This window comes from Homo sapiens, chromosome 1 (genome assembly GCF_000001405.40).
Source record: "Homo sapiens chromosome 1, GRCh38.p14 Primary Assembly".
NCBI classification, from domain to species: Eukaryota; Metazoa; Chordata; class Mammalia; order Primates; family Hominidae; genus Homo; species Homo sapiens.
Genome location: NC_000001.11, coordinates 177,700,294 through 177,717,177, shown reverse-complemented (window position 1 = coordinate 177,717,177; position 16,884 = coordinate 177,700,294). Strand labels below are relative to the sequence as shown.

The window sequence follows — 16,884 nt, the reverse complement described above, 5'->3', positions numbered from 1 at the left end:
TTCTTTATCCAGTCTATCATTGATAAGCATTTGGGTTGGTTCCAAGCCTTTGCTATTGCAAATAGTGCTGTGATAAACATACGTGTGCATGTGTCTTTAAAGTAGAATGATTTATAATCCTTTGGGTATATACCCAGTAATGGGATTGCTGGGTCAAATGGTATTTCTGGTTCTAGATCCATGAGGAATCACCACACTGTCTTCCACAATGGTTGAATTAATTTACATTCCCACCAACAGTGTAAAAGCATTCCTATTTCTCTGCATCCTCTCTAGTATCTGTTTTTTCCTGACTTTATAATGATCGTCATTCTAACTGGCGTGAGATGGTATCTCATTACGGTTTTGATTTGCGTTTCTCTAATGACCAGTGATGATGAACTTCTTTTTTCATATGTTTGTTGGATGCATAAATGTCTTCTTCTGAGACATGTCTATTCATATCCTTTGTCCACTCTTTGATGGGGTTGTTTTTTTCTTGTAAATTTGTTTAAGTTCCTTGTAGATTCTTTATATTAGATCTTTATCAGACAGATAGATTGCAAACATTTTCTCCCATTCTATAGGTTGCCTGTTCACTCTGATGATAGTTTCTTTTGCTGTGCAGAAGCTCTTTAGTTTAATTAGATCCCATTTGTCAATTTTGGCTTTTGTTTCAATTGCTTTCGGTGTTTTAGTCATGAAGTCTTTGACCATGCCTATGTCCTGAATGGTATTGCCTAGATTTTCTTCTAGGGTTTTTACAGTTTTAGGTCTAACATTTAAGTCTTTAATCCATCTTGAGTTAATTTTTGTATAAGGTGTAAGGAAGGGGTCCAGTTTCAATTTTCTGCACATGGCTAGCCAGCTTTCCCAGCACCATTTATTAAATAGGGATCCCTTCCCCATTTCTTGTTTTGTCAGATTTGTCTAAGATCAGATGGTTGTAGATGTGTGGTGTTATTTCTGAGTACTCTATTCTGTTCCATTGGTCTATATATCTGTTTTGGTACCATTACCATGCTGTTTTGGTCACTGTAGCCTTGTAGTATAGTTTTAAATCAGGTAGCATGATGCCTCCAGCTTTGTTCTTTTTGTTTACGATTGTCTTGGCTATACAGGCTCTTTTTTGGTTCCGTATGAAATTTAAAGTAGTTTTTTCTAGTTCTGTGAAGAAAGTCAATGGTAGCTTGATGGGAAGAGCATTGAATCTATAAATTACTTTGGGCTGTATGGCCATTTTCACAATATTGATTCTTCCTATCCATGAGCATGGGATGTTTTTCCATTTGTTTGTGTCCTCTCTTATTTCCTTGAGCAGTGGTTTGCAGTTCTCCTTGAAGAGGTCCTTCACCTCCCTTGAAAGTCATATTCCTAGGTATTTTATTTTCTTTGTAGCAATTGTGAATGGGAGTTCACTCATGATTTGTGTCTCTATTATTGGTGTATAGGAATGCTTGTGATTTCTGCATATTGAGTTTGTATCCTGAGACTTTGCTGAAGTTGCTTATGAGCTTAAGGAGATTTTGGGCTGAGACAATGGAGTTTTCTAAATATACAATCATGTCATCTGCAAACAGAGACAATTCGACTTCCTCTCTTCCTATTTGAATACCCTTTCTTTCTTTCTCTTGCCCAATTTCCCTGGCCGGAACTTCCAATACTATGTTGAATAGGAGAGGTGAGAGAGGGCATCCTTGTCTTGCCAGTTTTCAAAGGGAATGCTTCCAGCTTTTGCCCATTCAGCATGATATTGGCTATGGTTTTGTCATAAATAGCTCTTATTATTTTGAGATATATTCCATCAATACCCAGTTTATTGAGAGTTTTTAGCATGAAAGGGTGTTGAATTTTATTGAAGACCCTTTCTGCCTCTATTGAGATAATCATGCAGTTTTTGTCGTTGGTTCTGTTTATGTGATGGATTACATTTATTGATTTGTGTATGTGGAACCAGCCTTGCATCCTAGGGATGAAGCTGACTTGATCCTGGTGGATAAGCTTTCTGATGTGCTGCTGGATTCAGTTTGCCAGTATTTTATTGAGGATTTTCTCATTGATGTTCATCAGGGATATTGGCCTGAAATTTTCTTTTTCTGTTGTGTCTCTGCTAGGTTTTGGTATCAGGATGATGCTGGCCTCATAAATTGAATTAGGGAGGAGTCCCTCTTTTTGTGTTGTTTGGAATAGTTTCAGAAGGAATGGTACCAGCTCCTCTTTCTACCTCTGGTAGAATTCAGCTGTGACTCCATCTGGTCCTGGGCACTTTTTGGTTGGTAGGCTATTAATTACTGCCTCAATTTCAGAACTTGTTATTGCTCTATTCAGGGATTCGACTTCTTCCTGGTTTAGTCTCGGGAAGGTGTATGTGTCCAGGAATTTATCCATTTCTTCTAGATTTTCTAGTTTATTTATGTAGAGGTGTTCATAGTATTCTCTGATGGTATTTTCTATTTCTGAGGGATCAGTGGTGATCTCCCCTTTATCATTTTTTATTGTGTCTATTTTATTCTTCACCCTTTTCTTCTTTATTAGTATGGCTCATGGTCTATCTATTTTGTTAATCTTTTCAAAAAACCAGCTCCTGGATTCATTGATTTTTTTTAAGGGTTTTCAGTGTCTCTATCCCCTTCAATTCTGCTCTAATCTTAGTTATTTCTTGTCTTCTGCTAGCTTGTGAGTTTGTTTGCTCTTGCTTCTCTAGTTCTTTTAATTGTGATTTTAGGGTGTCTGTTTTGGATCTTTTCTACTTTCTGATGTGGGCATTTAGTGCTATAAATTTCCCTCTAAACACTTCTTTAGCTGTGTCCCAGAGATTCTGGTACCTTGGGTCTTTATTCTCATTGGTTTCAAATAACTTATTTTTGCCCTAATTTCATAATTTACCCAGTAGTCATTCAGGAGCAGGTGCCCACCTCCATCTCTAGCTGGGTGACCTAAGCAATAAATCTGAACCCCAACTTCCTTCTTTATGAAATGGGAATAAATCTACATACCTTGTAGGTTGTTGCTAGAACCAATTGTGATAAGGTGTGTAAATGCCTAGAACAGTGCAGGACACCTAAGAGGTGCTGATAACATTATTTATCTTTCCTAATTCAAAGGAAAAATTACCATTATCTCAAAACTAATATCAATAACTGAAAGTTTTTTCTGTTAAAAAATTAGTATCAGCCTATGTATTTACTGATCTGCTATAAAATGTTACAGCACATAGAAAACAGAAACTGGCACATATGTAAGACATCTGAAGAATAATTAGTCTGTGCTATTATGTAAGTTTTATGAATAAACATTTTTGGGGAGTCCAGGTGTTTTGATATATTTAAAGCATAAGTGTCTTCAGACATGGAGCTTAAATTAGTCTTTATCTTGGCCTTGAATTTTCCTTTATCCACTCAACAATGGTAAGGTAGGATATCCCCTTTTAAAATCCCTCCTAATGACATCTAATGATAGTTGAGATGTAAAGTTGAATGACTAAGCTAACTGTTATTCATTTTCACAATCATTTTCTATGGGAGTTGTCTAGAATAAGTGTATTCTACTTGTGTTGCCAAAGGATTCTAACTGGTATAGATATTCTGGCATTGTGTATTTGGGTTTTGTAGCACAAAGCATTTTGGGGTTTTATCACACAGGTTAGAATCCTCACTCAAACTCATTACAGTAGCTCCTTGGAGGTTTTTCAGTAACAAGGTGCTAATCTAGTAATAACCACAACCATTTGTTGACTATTTACCCTGTTACAGATGTTTTATAAACATTATTTTATCTTTTACAACAACCATGAAAGGTAGATGCATAATCTCAATAATTCAGATGGGGAAACTGAGGATCAGGGGGGTTAAAGCACTCGCCCAAAGTCAAGGAACTCGTACATGACAGAGCTGGGATTGAAACCTGTCTTTGCTGACTCTGGTACTTTTCTGCTTTCCACTGCTCCAACATGGCTTCAGAAATTTTAAATGAGGGGAAAACCCCATACACCCCTAAATCTCCCCTCATTTTATTTCATCTCATTGTAAGGGGCTTGCTTATTCAACTTATCAAGGACACAGACATGGCTAAAATGTCAGCATCCATCTAACTTATTTCACTTGTGATCCAAAATGATATTGAAACTCTGCTCTCCTGAGAGATGAAAAGTTGGTGGGTTATTGCATTTGTTGGTTTGTTGCTTAAAAATGATTAATTGTGTTCAGAGCTCCTCAGCTGTTTCTCTTGCCCTAGTGCTGAGGTAGTGAACTGGGATGGGGGCTGGGGGAAGAAACAAGGCAAGGGAGGCAGGTCAGTTTTGCTTTCATTGACAGTGAAAGCAGTTAATAGTTTATGGAGAGCAAGCTCCCTTGCTAAACTTTGCTGCCAGTACTGCCGCTGCGGTGAGATGATGTCTGGGGCCAACCCTTTGTTGGAGGGGGCAGGATGATGGGGCAAATAATGACAAGGGGGCTCCCTCCTTCCGTTTATTATCCACAGTTTCAAAAAAGTGAATGCAAGAGAAAGAGACCATAATGGGGAAAATTTGACATCATAGCCTGGTGATCCCAGTGAGGCTGGTGCCTTCTGTCCCTGCCTCTTGCTTCTGGAGCAAATTAGGCTTATATGAGGCTCAGAATCTCCCAAGAACCGAGAAGTGCAGTACATTTTCCTGAAAGTCATGGTGACAGGTGGGAATGTGGCCAAACACCCCACACCATTCGTTCATCATCTCTTTTAACAGGCTGCTGCTGTGCAAGGTTCTCAGGGGCCAACTCGTGCTAGCCAGCTCCCCAGCCTCTCTGACTTCCTTTAGGAGGCTGGCTATTTTGCCTTGCCTGACCTTGGGGTGTGGTGGAGGAGAGAATTTCAAATAAGTGAATCAACTTCATCAGAAAGCCTGCTTAGTGTTTTATTTTGTGCTACATGTGAATAGTAAGCTCATTTCATTTCCACAGCAATTCTTTATTTAAAGGTAGGTATAATTTTCTCTGTTTTACAGGATATATAACTGAGGTCCAGGAAGTTAAGTAAATTCCCTAAGACCCACCACTAGGAAGTGGTAAAAGAAGGATTCCAACTCATGTTTGTCTCCTTGTGGTCCTTCTGGTGACACTGATTCCTCTCAGCTGGGATGGTCTTCCAAGTTGAGAGGACAGCCCTCACTACCCCCTAGAAACATGAACAATAATGATCATGGTGAACAAGGATGGTGATCATCTCAGAAAGAATGAATGCTCCTTCACTGGAAGCTCTCAGATTTTGTTTGAATTTCATCTTGTCTGATTTACAGAAATTAATGAGCTACTAGATCTAGAACTGGTGTGTCTTGATAAAATGACTTATTTTTAGTGCTTTAGCATTTAAAAGGATCTGTTATAATTTCATGCTTAAATAACACCAGATAAGGGTCTGTGTTTGTCTAGTGTAATTGGAAGAAGCAATGGAAAAGGAAACAGTTTCTTCTAAACAAATGGCATGAATGCATCCCGGGAGAAATTTGAAGATAGAGAAACCTCCCAATAAAACAAACACCAGGGTTTTAAGTATTCTCCTTGGAGAGCATTTCCCATAGTCCACAGATGGCCTTTAAGGACACAGAGACCTACACAAGGAGGCTGGAGATGTGTGTGGGGTGGCAGTGGGCGTTGGAAGCCAGGGGCAGGGTTGCCTCAGTGAAGAAGTGCAGCTATCCATCAAAAAGCCTACTTAGGTTGCTTGAAAACAGTGGGGAAAACACAGGAGTGAACCTCCCTCCCTTCTTGGACTCTGGCAGGGCTGATTTATGGACTTGTCCCTGTGCCTTTAACATCAACATCCTCAGGGCCTCTGAGACCACCTAAGTCACAGTACCCAAGGCAATGGGAAAAAGCTGGCTGAAATAACTAAAGCTGGGAGAGGTTAGAGACTATGATATAGTAAAACGACTGCTCTCCCAGACGTCTGGACCTCTGAATCACCCACAGGCCACTGAGCCTCTTTCCTTCCCTGCTCTCTCTAAAGGCTTTTCCTGCCTGGGAGCCTCTTCCTTCTGCATCCTCTTCCCAGCGGTACCTATTGGCCCCGCCCCTCCCATGGCCATGCCCCCTCCACACTCAGCCAGCACCCAGTCCCGCTCCCGCCAGCCCCTTTCTCCCATGGTAAAATTTTGCTCTCTTTGTACATTTACATTTCTGCTGACTGCAAGGATCAGTTTAATTTCATGGGTGTCATTTCCTTCAAGAAATCTCTGTCTGAGCAGCGGCCCATCGAATCCCCGGTAAAACATATTTTCCTACGGTAATGATTTTATGGGCCCATAAGTCATGAATTTATTATGATCTCAGCCCTTGCTGCTGATTGCTGTAAAATGCAAAGTAATTAACAGCGAGCGGTAGCAGTTATTCCCACCTGGTAACGTGTTCCTTCGTTCGCTGATGGGTTTGATTAAAGTAATGACTAAAGAGTGAAGCCCGGCTGTAAAATATTAGCATGATTATTGCTGTATCCTAAATAAGAAACAAAACTAATGGGTATGGTCTGAGAAATTAAAAAAATACACACACAATCCTTCCTCTCCCCCCACTCCCATCTCCCTTAAGCAATTGTTATGGCTCATTTAAGGTGTGTCTTCCTTCCCATTAAATAATGTATGGATTCCAAGGCCAGAGGCTGGCTAGCAGAGCATATCACACAGTTCTCATAACGTTTAAAGTGCTGGTGTTAAGTTATTTCCTTTTCTCTTCGATGTGCAGAATGGAGCTTGGATGGGGGTATTATTTGAGCTAAAGCCTACAGAGCTGCTAAAAGGCTTTCTCCCACTCTACATGAGGCAGGGGTCTTTGGTTAGGGCTACCCCAACCATAGAGATATGCTTGAAATTGATGAGTCTCAGTCACCTTTCCCAACCTTAGGAATAATTTGTTTCTATTGTCACGTTGGTCTGGGGATACACAACAACTCACACAATGCCTATTTTGATGCCCAAACAGTTAACTGCCCTTTACGCTGGTGCTATGAGGAGGTCAAGCTTCTTGAAGCTCCACCTTCCCTGGAAGACCAGGTAGGAAGCTCAGCTGTGAGTTGGCTCCAAGGCAGTCCTGCTCATGGCATGCCAGTGTCTTCCCCTCTCAACTCTGAGAGCACTCCACACTCCAGAGAGCCAAGAGACCGTAAACAGGTACTGTTCTCCTGGAGTATGTATGGGCAGGCAGTGGGACAGGGAGTGGGCTGGAGGACATGGCCTGCTTGCTGAGGAGGTCATGGAGAGATAGGAGGGATCTGCTTCTGCTCTTCTCCAGTGGTCCTGAATTAAATTCACCTTACATCTTTGTAGGTTGGAAGAGAACAGCCAGAAGAGAGTCAGGATATGCAGGAAGCTATGTGCCAAGGGAGATCCCTCAAGTATTTGGCTCTAGAAAGATTGTTTTGCCAAGGGTGAGATGACTGAGGCTGCAGGAAGACAAAAGTCCATTTGATTAACTCAATATTGCATACCTAGTATATGACAGTCATAGGAATACACTCTCTACCATTAAGAAACTTCTAGTCTAGAAACATAATGCAAGGGGAAGATGATCAAAAAACCTCATTTGCAAGGGACAGGAATAAAGAGAAGTGGTACCTTGGAAAGGGACTTGTGGCCATGATATCCTCAGGGAGAGGTATGGACAAGTGGCTGAAGGGAGAATGCCACACTGCCACTGTGGGAGGTTGAAGTGACTCTTCTGCACACCTCGTGAATTTGGAAGGGAAAAGACCATTTCTTATGGGGAAAAATGGGCATCATTTTTCTGATTCATAACCATGGAGACCAGGAAAAACAGTACTATAAATGTGCACCTCTCTCTGCTTCAGAAGAGCTCAAAGCATTTAAAAAATACAAGGTCCTTATGAAGAAAGAGGTGAGGGACAGGCATGCATGGCCCCATTTTAAAGATTCAGGGACCTAATTATGGAGAAAGAAGTGATTGGCCCAAAGCTGCTCTCAGTAAGGGGCAGACGCAAGGTCAGACCCTGTGTCTTTCCTATTAACCAACTGGTAGCTGTTTGTTCAATGGGTTGTGCTTCACATGCCAAAGTTTTGGAGGCTACACTTCCAAACCAATGGACCACCTGGCTGTGTTGGGTCATCCACCAGCAGTGGCTATTATCATGACTCTGCTCTCAATCCAAGGAATATCACATGTGCCGTGCTGGGACAGTACCAGGCAGAAAAGCACCAGGTTTCTCCTTATAGTAGAAAGACAGCTGTTTCCCAAATGGAAGGTACTCCTGCATTTTCCTAATCATGGATGAAGCAGAGACAAAGTGAGGTTGTGTTTCAGGTGAGAGGAAATAGATCTATAAAAATACTTTTTATTCTTCTCTTCCCCTTCCTTCTCAATCATTTAAAAAATAACACTTGTTGCATCATATCTCAGAAAAAATATAATGAACATGCACGTTTTTGCCTTTACTTCTCTGGCTCTTGCTCCTTATAAGGGGAAGATGAAGGAAAAGTTATTGGGATCGCAGTGCTGGCACCAGGAAGATAAATGTGAAGCCCTCCCTCTCTCCGCCACTGAACAGGTCAAAAAATGATTGCATTGGGCGTGAAGGATTTATGTCTGCAGTGAGTCAGTCAGAGTGTTGGGGTAAATCAAGGCTGACATTTTTAGCATCTGGGAAAAAAAAGCAATTGCATTTTATGTCTACATTTTGCTTGGCTAATCAAGGTGCGGAAGAGGCACTCTTCCTGGGGAAACTTTCCCACTTTTTATTATTTAGGTAGAGTTTGGTTTTTCCCATAGAAACATGAAGCAAGGCTTCAGGTTAAAGAAAGGAAAAGGCCCTCCCTGTCAGTTCTGACTTGGAGAGATTTTAATTTGGCAGAAGGGGATCTGGGGAGGGACTGGACATGTGAGCTACCTGAACAGTCTTAGGGATAGCTCTGGAGCAAGGGGGTGGATGACCACTTTTGCAATGAATTTCATCTCTCCATAGGCCTCTAGCAGGACCTAGGACATAACAGAAACATTAGGGGCGGGTGGGGAACTAGTTTGATGCTTTTGACTAAATTGACCAGCTACTAATTGATTACTAATCAGTCCTTTAGCTGAAGCAACCAGTGAAATACCTACACAGCTTAGTTAAAACTGTTGACCCTGTTGATGCATATTGACATAGTTCAAGATCAAGCCACAGTTAATGTGTGCAAGGGGAAAAGACAGATGAACAAATTATCTAGCAACTTTTTTTTAGCTTTGCATTTCAAGGTCAGTTTATCTAAGTGCTTTGCCTTAGTAAATGAAAATGTATTTGGATTTCAAAAGTGTTATATTTTGCATGAGGGACAAGATTCAGCAAATATTACTTTCGTATGTTAACAGATAGTAATCATGGTAGCTAATGTTTTAGAGGGAGGGGGTTTACTATATAAAGTGCTTAATAACTTTATATATATGATCTCATTAAATCTCCATTGCTCCAGGAGCTAGTTATGATCCCCATTTATCAATGGGGAAACTGATGGATAAACCCGAGGTTATATCCAGCTCTTCTTAGCTAGTAAAAGCTAGAGAAGTTTATTGAACCAAGGGAATTCTGCCTTCATAGCCTTCATCCCTAACTTCTATGCATGCTACTTCAGATTTGATCAAAGCAGCTATGCACATTCTAACAATTTTGGGAATAAGAGATTCAACAAAAACAGATTTCATGGATGTTCAGATTTTCTTTTTGTGGGCTTGAAAAAGGTTAGGAACCAGCCACAGGTCCTGCAACTAGGTACTTATGATGATAGTAATAGCTAAAATGTATTGCTCACTTGTCATGTGTCAGGCACTGTGTTAAGCTCTTTATGTATATTTACTCATAGAAGTCCCACATAGCTCTAAACAAGTCGGCCTATTATGATCCTATGTTCCAGGTGAAAAAAATTGAGGCACCGAGAAGTTTAGATTCTTTTCCATGCATTTAGCTAACAAGTGACAGCCAGGATGGGACACCAGGCACATTGACATCAGAGCCATCACACATAATTTTCTGGATAGCCCTTGCGGTGGCTTTGCCATGCTCATGGAACGTGTTTCTGGTGAGGCAATGGTGTTGGCAGTTGTTAGTTGTTTGCCTTCCTTCTTGTGTGTGTGTGCCCTCAAATAATTGCTTTGTGATGTCTGACTAAAGAGACTTCCAAGTTCTCTTTAAAAAAATTTAAATACTCTTCCTTTATTAGCACATACTGAATTTAAAAATAATGGAAAAAAAATTATTTGATTGGGAGGCTGAGGCAGGCCAATTACTTGAGGTTGGAGTTCGAGACCAGCCTGGGCAACATGGTGAAACCCCATCTCTACTAAAAATACAAAAATCAGCTGGACACGGTGGCATACACCTGTAATCCCAGCTACTCAGGAGGCTGAGGCAGGAGAATCACTTGAACCCAGGAAGCAGAGGTTGCAGTGAGCTGAGATGGCACCACTGCACTCCAGTCTGGGCAACAGAGTGAGACTCCATCTCAAAAACAAAAACAAAAAAATATTATTTGAGATTTCAATTAGTGCTTTATTGCCCAGGGCCCTAGGACTCCTAGAAGTCCTTTAAGGAGGTAGCGGAGACCTTAAAGAAATGTTCTGTATATTTAAAAACTGAACTGAAATGGATTTACTGATAATAAGGCTTCAGAGGGTAACTCAAACACCAAGTTCGTGGAATTATATTAGCTCAGTGAGGTAATGCGGATTATTGCATACTGATTGTTCTTTGATGAATAAACATAGGGGAATGGAGAATTCTTTAATAAAGGTTGTCAATGAGACAAAAACATTAAAAATAGGAAACCTTAGAGGAAAAAGAATAGAGGAGGTCCTTGGTGACAGAAAGCCTGGGAGCCCCTGATATAAAGCCTTGTTCTTTTTGTTCCCTGTCCCTTGGTTATTTGTTTGAAATGTTATCAAAATACCTTTCAAAGACCAGTGATGTAATTTATGTAAAGTGTTATGCAAATACCAGTTTTTGTTATTAATATTAGCAGTAATAGTTATGATAATGATCTTGCTGTGGCACATGTGATTTCATTAACAATTATATCAAGAACCTTTAAAATTAAGGAATTTTAAACATTTCATTTCCTAGGGTTAGATTTAACTTCTTCCCCAAACCCTGCATTAGCACAGTCGTGCCCTGACATGCCGTGTGCTCTGTGTATGTGTACATGCTTGTTTAATGCATCACACGTGTGTGTGCATGTGTGCAGTGCCCATAGTTTTGTGAGTTTTGTATTGCTCTTACCCCCTCTGCCTTGTACAGCTGCACATTATAAGATTCTTTGTTCAGAAAACTTGTTTGAAAGGGCGATGAAGCATTTGGATCGAGGTGTGGGTTTTTACTCCCACATTTTTTGCCAATAATTAGACAAACTTTACCACCAAATCTTCTTTTGCCTCTGTGGAGGATGAAGGGTCTGGGAGAAACTGGATTTGAAAATCTGATCTGGCTGTCACATTGTTCGGGGGCTGTGCCTACACACACAAGTTGGTTTGAATGTCACAAAGAGGTTACGAACTTGTGTTTCCAGGTATGCTCCTATCATATATACCTGGTGCCAAAAATGGATTTGACTTCATTCTTCCTTTTTAACTAGTTGTTTTGATGCACTTTGGAGACAGTCTGAATAATGCTATTAATTGGGCAGAGATTAGCACATAATCAAATCACATCTGCTTTAAAAAAAAGTCAGAGCCCTCTTTACTAAAATAGCATAAAGTATAAATTGATTCATAGCAACCTAGCTCTATATTCCTGATTAAAAAAGAAAGTTATCAGTAGAATAAGATTGGTACCTGCTCTAATATTTGTTATCACCCCTTCTTAGTCTGCTTCTGTATGTTTCCTTTCTCTTATTTCCTTTATCTTGTATCTATCTGGCTGCTGCTTCAACCTGGCTCACACCACCAGCAAGCTGAGTGTCCTCGTGAACACCCCAGTTCATTCTCAGGGTCCCTGTCTTACTCCAGAGCTCTCTTCTGCTTCTCTCCTTTGTGTAAAGCTGTCTTCTCTTCGTGCCTTGGGTCTTGCTGGTCTCTTTTTTTTAGCATCTAGAACAGCAGGACATCCCTCTCTACCACCTGCATGTGTGCTTGAGCAGGCTGTGTTCTAACCCACAGCAGCCCCCTGTCCACTCATGGTTGTGTTATATTTTCCTTGCTCTGAAGCTCATAATTAAAATTACTAATTTTTACTTAGACTGGGCCTCTTCTATAACATTAGTTTTCACCACCTGCCAAAGAATTTGCCAGCGACTTAAAAAAAAGTTCTACCTTCCTCTTATTTCTATTATTCAGATTGAACATGAGGGTTAAAGTAGCAGTGTGCCATGGTTTCTCAGATAGCAGAAGTACAACCAGGGCCTCTGGTGGGGGCCACAGGCAGTCATTTACTGGGTCAGGCATTGAACTAGGTGGGTCATGAGTTGATCTGAGTTGGTATTTTTCTCCAAGGCAGTCTCTGTAGACTTGAGGAGCTGGAACATACGTGGAATTAAGTGGCGGCCGAAAGGATGTGACAAGTGAACTCTGCTGCCACTTTGCATCCTGGCCAAAAAGGAAAGGCTTCAGGTTTTGGAGTTTTACATGAGTCCAAATCTGGGTCTCCTGGCTTATTAGCCATGTGACTCCTGAGTCTCACTTTCCTAATCCATAAAATGGGAATGATGATACCTGCTTCACAGGGTGTTATGAAGAATAAATGAGGCAGTGTGTTTAAAATGGCTAGCAGAGCACACAGCAGGTCTATGGTTGTCATGTGTTGTGGTAGATCAAGAGAGGATATCCCTGGGCTATGGAAACCTAAAAATGTTAGCACAGTCATGCTGCAAAAAAATTTTGAACATCAGTGAAAATTGACGAGCATAAAACTGCCGGAAACAGTTTCTAATGAAACTGTAGCCCTTGCTATGCTGAGCCTTGCACTTCCTGGGGGTCATGGCTGCCCAGGGGACTTTGCCCATTAGGGGCAGTGAGGCAGGAGGGCTGGAGCTATACCAGATCAGTTTTTTAGCCTCAGGCAGCACTTCTGGTGGAAAAAAGACATGACTCACATTTTTAGAAGCTGGGAGAAGGAAACAGAAAATAAGTCTCTAGAAAGAGTTGAGAGTCAGAAAGAGACTTAGAAGAACCCCAGAAGGGCAAGTACATACAAAATCAAGGGCAAAAGTCTGAAGATTGAAACATGAGAAAAAAGAAATGCAAATGTAGGAAGACTAGAAACGAGTTTCAAAAATATCTGTACCTGTTGGAACTTTGGTTAAAATCAAGAAGGTAATAGGAATACTTGAAGAGTCTTACACTTAGCTTATGTTATCAGTTGCAGAGATACTGTGTGTGTGTGTGTGTGTGTGTGTGTGTGTGTGTACTTGAGCACACATGAATTCAACTGTGGTGGTCTCTCCTCTTAACAAAGACTAGTTCCTTCAAACATGTCCAGGATCCCATTCTTTCTTACTACTGTAAAGTCTAATTTTCTTCTCTCTTCATCATGATTAATCTCCCCCTTTCTTACTGCATTATTCCTCAGTTTGAACGCATGTGGTAGTATTTTCCAAGTTAAAATCAAAAAGCAAAACCTTCTCATGACTCCTTGTCTCTCTCCAGCCAATGACTCAATTCTCTGCTACCCTTCAACATAAAACTTCTTCTAGAAGTTGTCAAAGTGTGCTGCTTTTATTTTCTCATCTTCTCAATCATTCCTTAGTTCACTCTTTTGCCCTAAAAGTAGTAGCCCAAGGTCACTGACAATTTCATTGTACCATCCAAGGGCAACTTTCAGCCTTATCTTCCATAGCCTCTCAGCCACATTCTCTAAGGCTGAAGGCTGTTATTCTCAGCACAGGCCTCCCTTGGCTTCTGTGGCTCCACACATTTCCTGGCTGTCCTCTTCTCACCTGCAGTCTCCTTTGCTGGGTCCTCTATGCTGGCTCTCTGAGTGTGGGTGTGCTCTAGGGCTTAGTTCTGGGTCCTGTTTTCATCTCTCCCTACGCTTATTTCCTAGGTGACCTCCTCTATCCCCTGTGGCTTTAAGCATCATCTGTATGCTGATGACTTACCAATTTATGTCTCCAGTCCAGAAATATCCTCTGAGATTCAGACTCATATCTATCTAACTGGCTACTTGACATCTCTACTTGGATATCTCATAGGCGTCTCTAAAGAAACATGGAAAAATAGCATTTTCTCTTTTCCTCCCAAACCTGTTTCTTTCCCAGAATATCATGTCTCCATAGATGATGGCACCTTCAATGCAGTTGCTCAAGTCTAAAGCCCTCAGTTCATTGACAAAATCTGCCACATCTATCACATTAATTCATTTGTTCAATTAGCAGTTAGAGTTGATGTTCATTGTGTGTGGCAATTATATTCTATAAAGTCACTGTGAACACTGATTTAGCGAATACTGAACCATTGCTCTTAAAGAAAACACAGGTTAGGTGCCTTTGAGCCTCTGGTTACAATGTTTACATCGACTGACCAATACATTTTAGGTGTGTTTCTGTTTAAAGACACCTTCTTGAATATATATGTGTATATATAGTTGATTCGTTAATATTGAATTCACAGCCAACAGCACTGGCTCATACTGGAATGAGGCTCACCTAACACACAAATTTTCTCCATAAGTCACACCACAGCTTTCTTGCACTCAGGAACACTACATAGCACTTCAGCACTAGGCCTGGGGGGCATTTTGTACAGCAAAAGCACCAACACAAAGCACAAAAATATGACCAAACGTGGCACTAACCAGGCAGCAAAAAGGACACTTGCTGAAAATATAAAACTAGAAACAAGAAGGCAGAATGTGCTCTTGTTTGACCTCAGCCAGGAACGTCCATGACTCAAACTCTTCACCTGTTTTTGCAAGTGCATTTCTGCAAACAATGGCAAAAGTGCCATAAGCATTGATTTTGGGGTTACAAATTTTAGGGAATAAGCAAATTCATAAATATGGAGTCTGTAAATAATGAGGAGCAACTATATTGCTATTTACACACCAAACACTGTACTAAGAACTGAAGATAAGTCTGCTAAGCAAAACACACATTGTTCCTTCCCTCACGGAATATACTAAGTCAAACTCCTGTGTATACTGTATTTTGAATCAGTCTGCTTTTTTCAAATTCTCCCCCAGCTACCCTAATTCTTATGACCTATATTTGCCATTTGGGCAATTACTTATTAAATGATTTACTTCTAATCTTGCCCCCTTCTATTCATTCTCTAACTATGGGCAGACCAATTCCCTTAAACATGAACTGAATTGTGCCATGGTCTGCTTTTTGTCCTTTAATGATTTGCTCCTCAAATATTTACTGTGACTGCAGAGTCCTGTTGATCTCTGCAGCCTCATCTTGAACCACAGTCTCCTTTCACTCATGCTCCCACTACATGGGCATCCTTTCAGGTTCTTGTGTGTGCAAAGGCCTTTCCTGCCTCTCAGCCTTTGCACATGTTGTTCCATAGGGCTGTGCCTAGAGTACTCCATAAATTTGTTTGTCCTCCGATCTAATATAAGCTCTATCCCCTTAGAAAAACCTCCCCCCGAACACCAAGGCCTGCCTTGTTATTCTCTATACAAACACACCTTGTTTGTTTCTTTTATTACACACTTAATATTTTATAACATACTTACGTTTAATATTTTCTTTATGGTTTACTGTGTCATCCCTCACTAGACTTTTAATTCCAGGAGAGTAGAGACCATGTTAGTTTTGTTTACCACTTTTTTCTCAGTATCCAGTACAGTGCCTGGTACACAATAAGCATGTAATTAATATTTAGTAAATGAATGAATTCATGAATTATTAAATAATTTCCTTAGAGTATCAAAGAGTCCCCATATACCAGCTTGTCAGCTAAAGTAGAAAAGCTCCAATATTGTCTTCATCCAGTTTTCTTTTGCTGTTTCTAGTAATTCTAGAGAACTTTATTCCAGTTCTTATTCTGGATTTATAATTTAGCATTTTCATTAGGTCTAGGAGTCCACTCTAATAAGCAGAACCGTAGCAACCTATTTTCTTATCAGGTTCCCAGATTCACTGCGCAACCATGGGCTTTATAAAGTATTCTTGAGGCTCTCCTAGTCAGTCAGTGCCATTGAAGGCTATTCTCAGACAACCCCACATCCTTGCACAGTCAGCAATATAGCTGGCTTACATTAAGCCCTTTTACCGGTGAGTGAGCAGTCATGTGGACCAAATCTTTCGAGGAATCACCTGAACCTAAGTTGCCCTTTCAATCACTTGTAGCTCAGGCCATTGGCCTCGAAATACTCTGAGCTGCACAAAAGAGAACTGGTAACAATAGCCAGAAAGTTCAGAAAGTCCTGTTTGGACCCAGTATATGAAAGAACTTTTTAATAGTCATCTGACTGAAGACAAATGGACTGCTTGAGTAGGTAGTAAACCCCAGTCCTTAAAGGGGTTGGAAAGCCATTGTCTGGAATGCTGGAGAGAATATTATTGTAGTTGATCAGCTGACGGTCTTAGAGTTTTTCAGGCTGTGACCTGTGGACCAACTGCATCAAAATCATCTGGAGATGCTTGCAGGGCAGTGGGATTAGTTGTGGTGGCCCTAGCATGCTTGTTGAAAACCATTTCTTACTTTACACCCCAGCCTTAGATATAGATGGTATGGGGGATGCAGCATGGAGAATCTCTGAGCTTTAGAATTCTGACACAGATAGTCTCTAAGGTGGTTTTATGCCTTCATATTTTGGTCTTGTGATCTCATAATTATCTATTTATTAGTCAACAAATGTTTTTGAAAACTATCAGTCAATGTTATTGGCTTTGGAGATTTTGATGAATTAATTTCATGTGTCAATTGGCTAGGCTATGGTACCCGACTACTTACTGAAATACTAATCTAAGTATTCTCGTGAAAGTATTTTGTATATGTAGTTGATATCTAT

The 16,884-nt window shown here is 40.6% G+C and overlaps 1 long non-coding RNA gene across 1 annotated transcript; it reads right to left on the bottom strand.

Moving 5' to 3' along the window:
* Positions 1 to 6,847: 6,847 nt before the first annotated feature.
* Positions 6,848 to 16,654, bottom strand: LINC01741 (long intergenic non-protein coding RNA 1741). Its single transcript, NR_110722.1, has 4 exons — positions 15,816 to 16,654; positions 15,604 to 15,719; positions 8,053 to 8,221; positions 6,848 to 7,389 (listed from the first exon to the last, which is right to left on the bottom strand). It is a non-coding gene; the product is annotated as a long intergenic non-protein coding RNA 1741 (long non-coding RNA).
* Between the last annotated feature and the right edge of the window lie 230 nt (positions 16,655 to 16,884).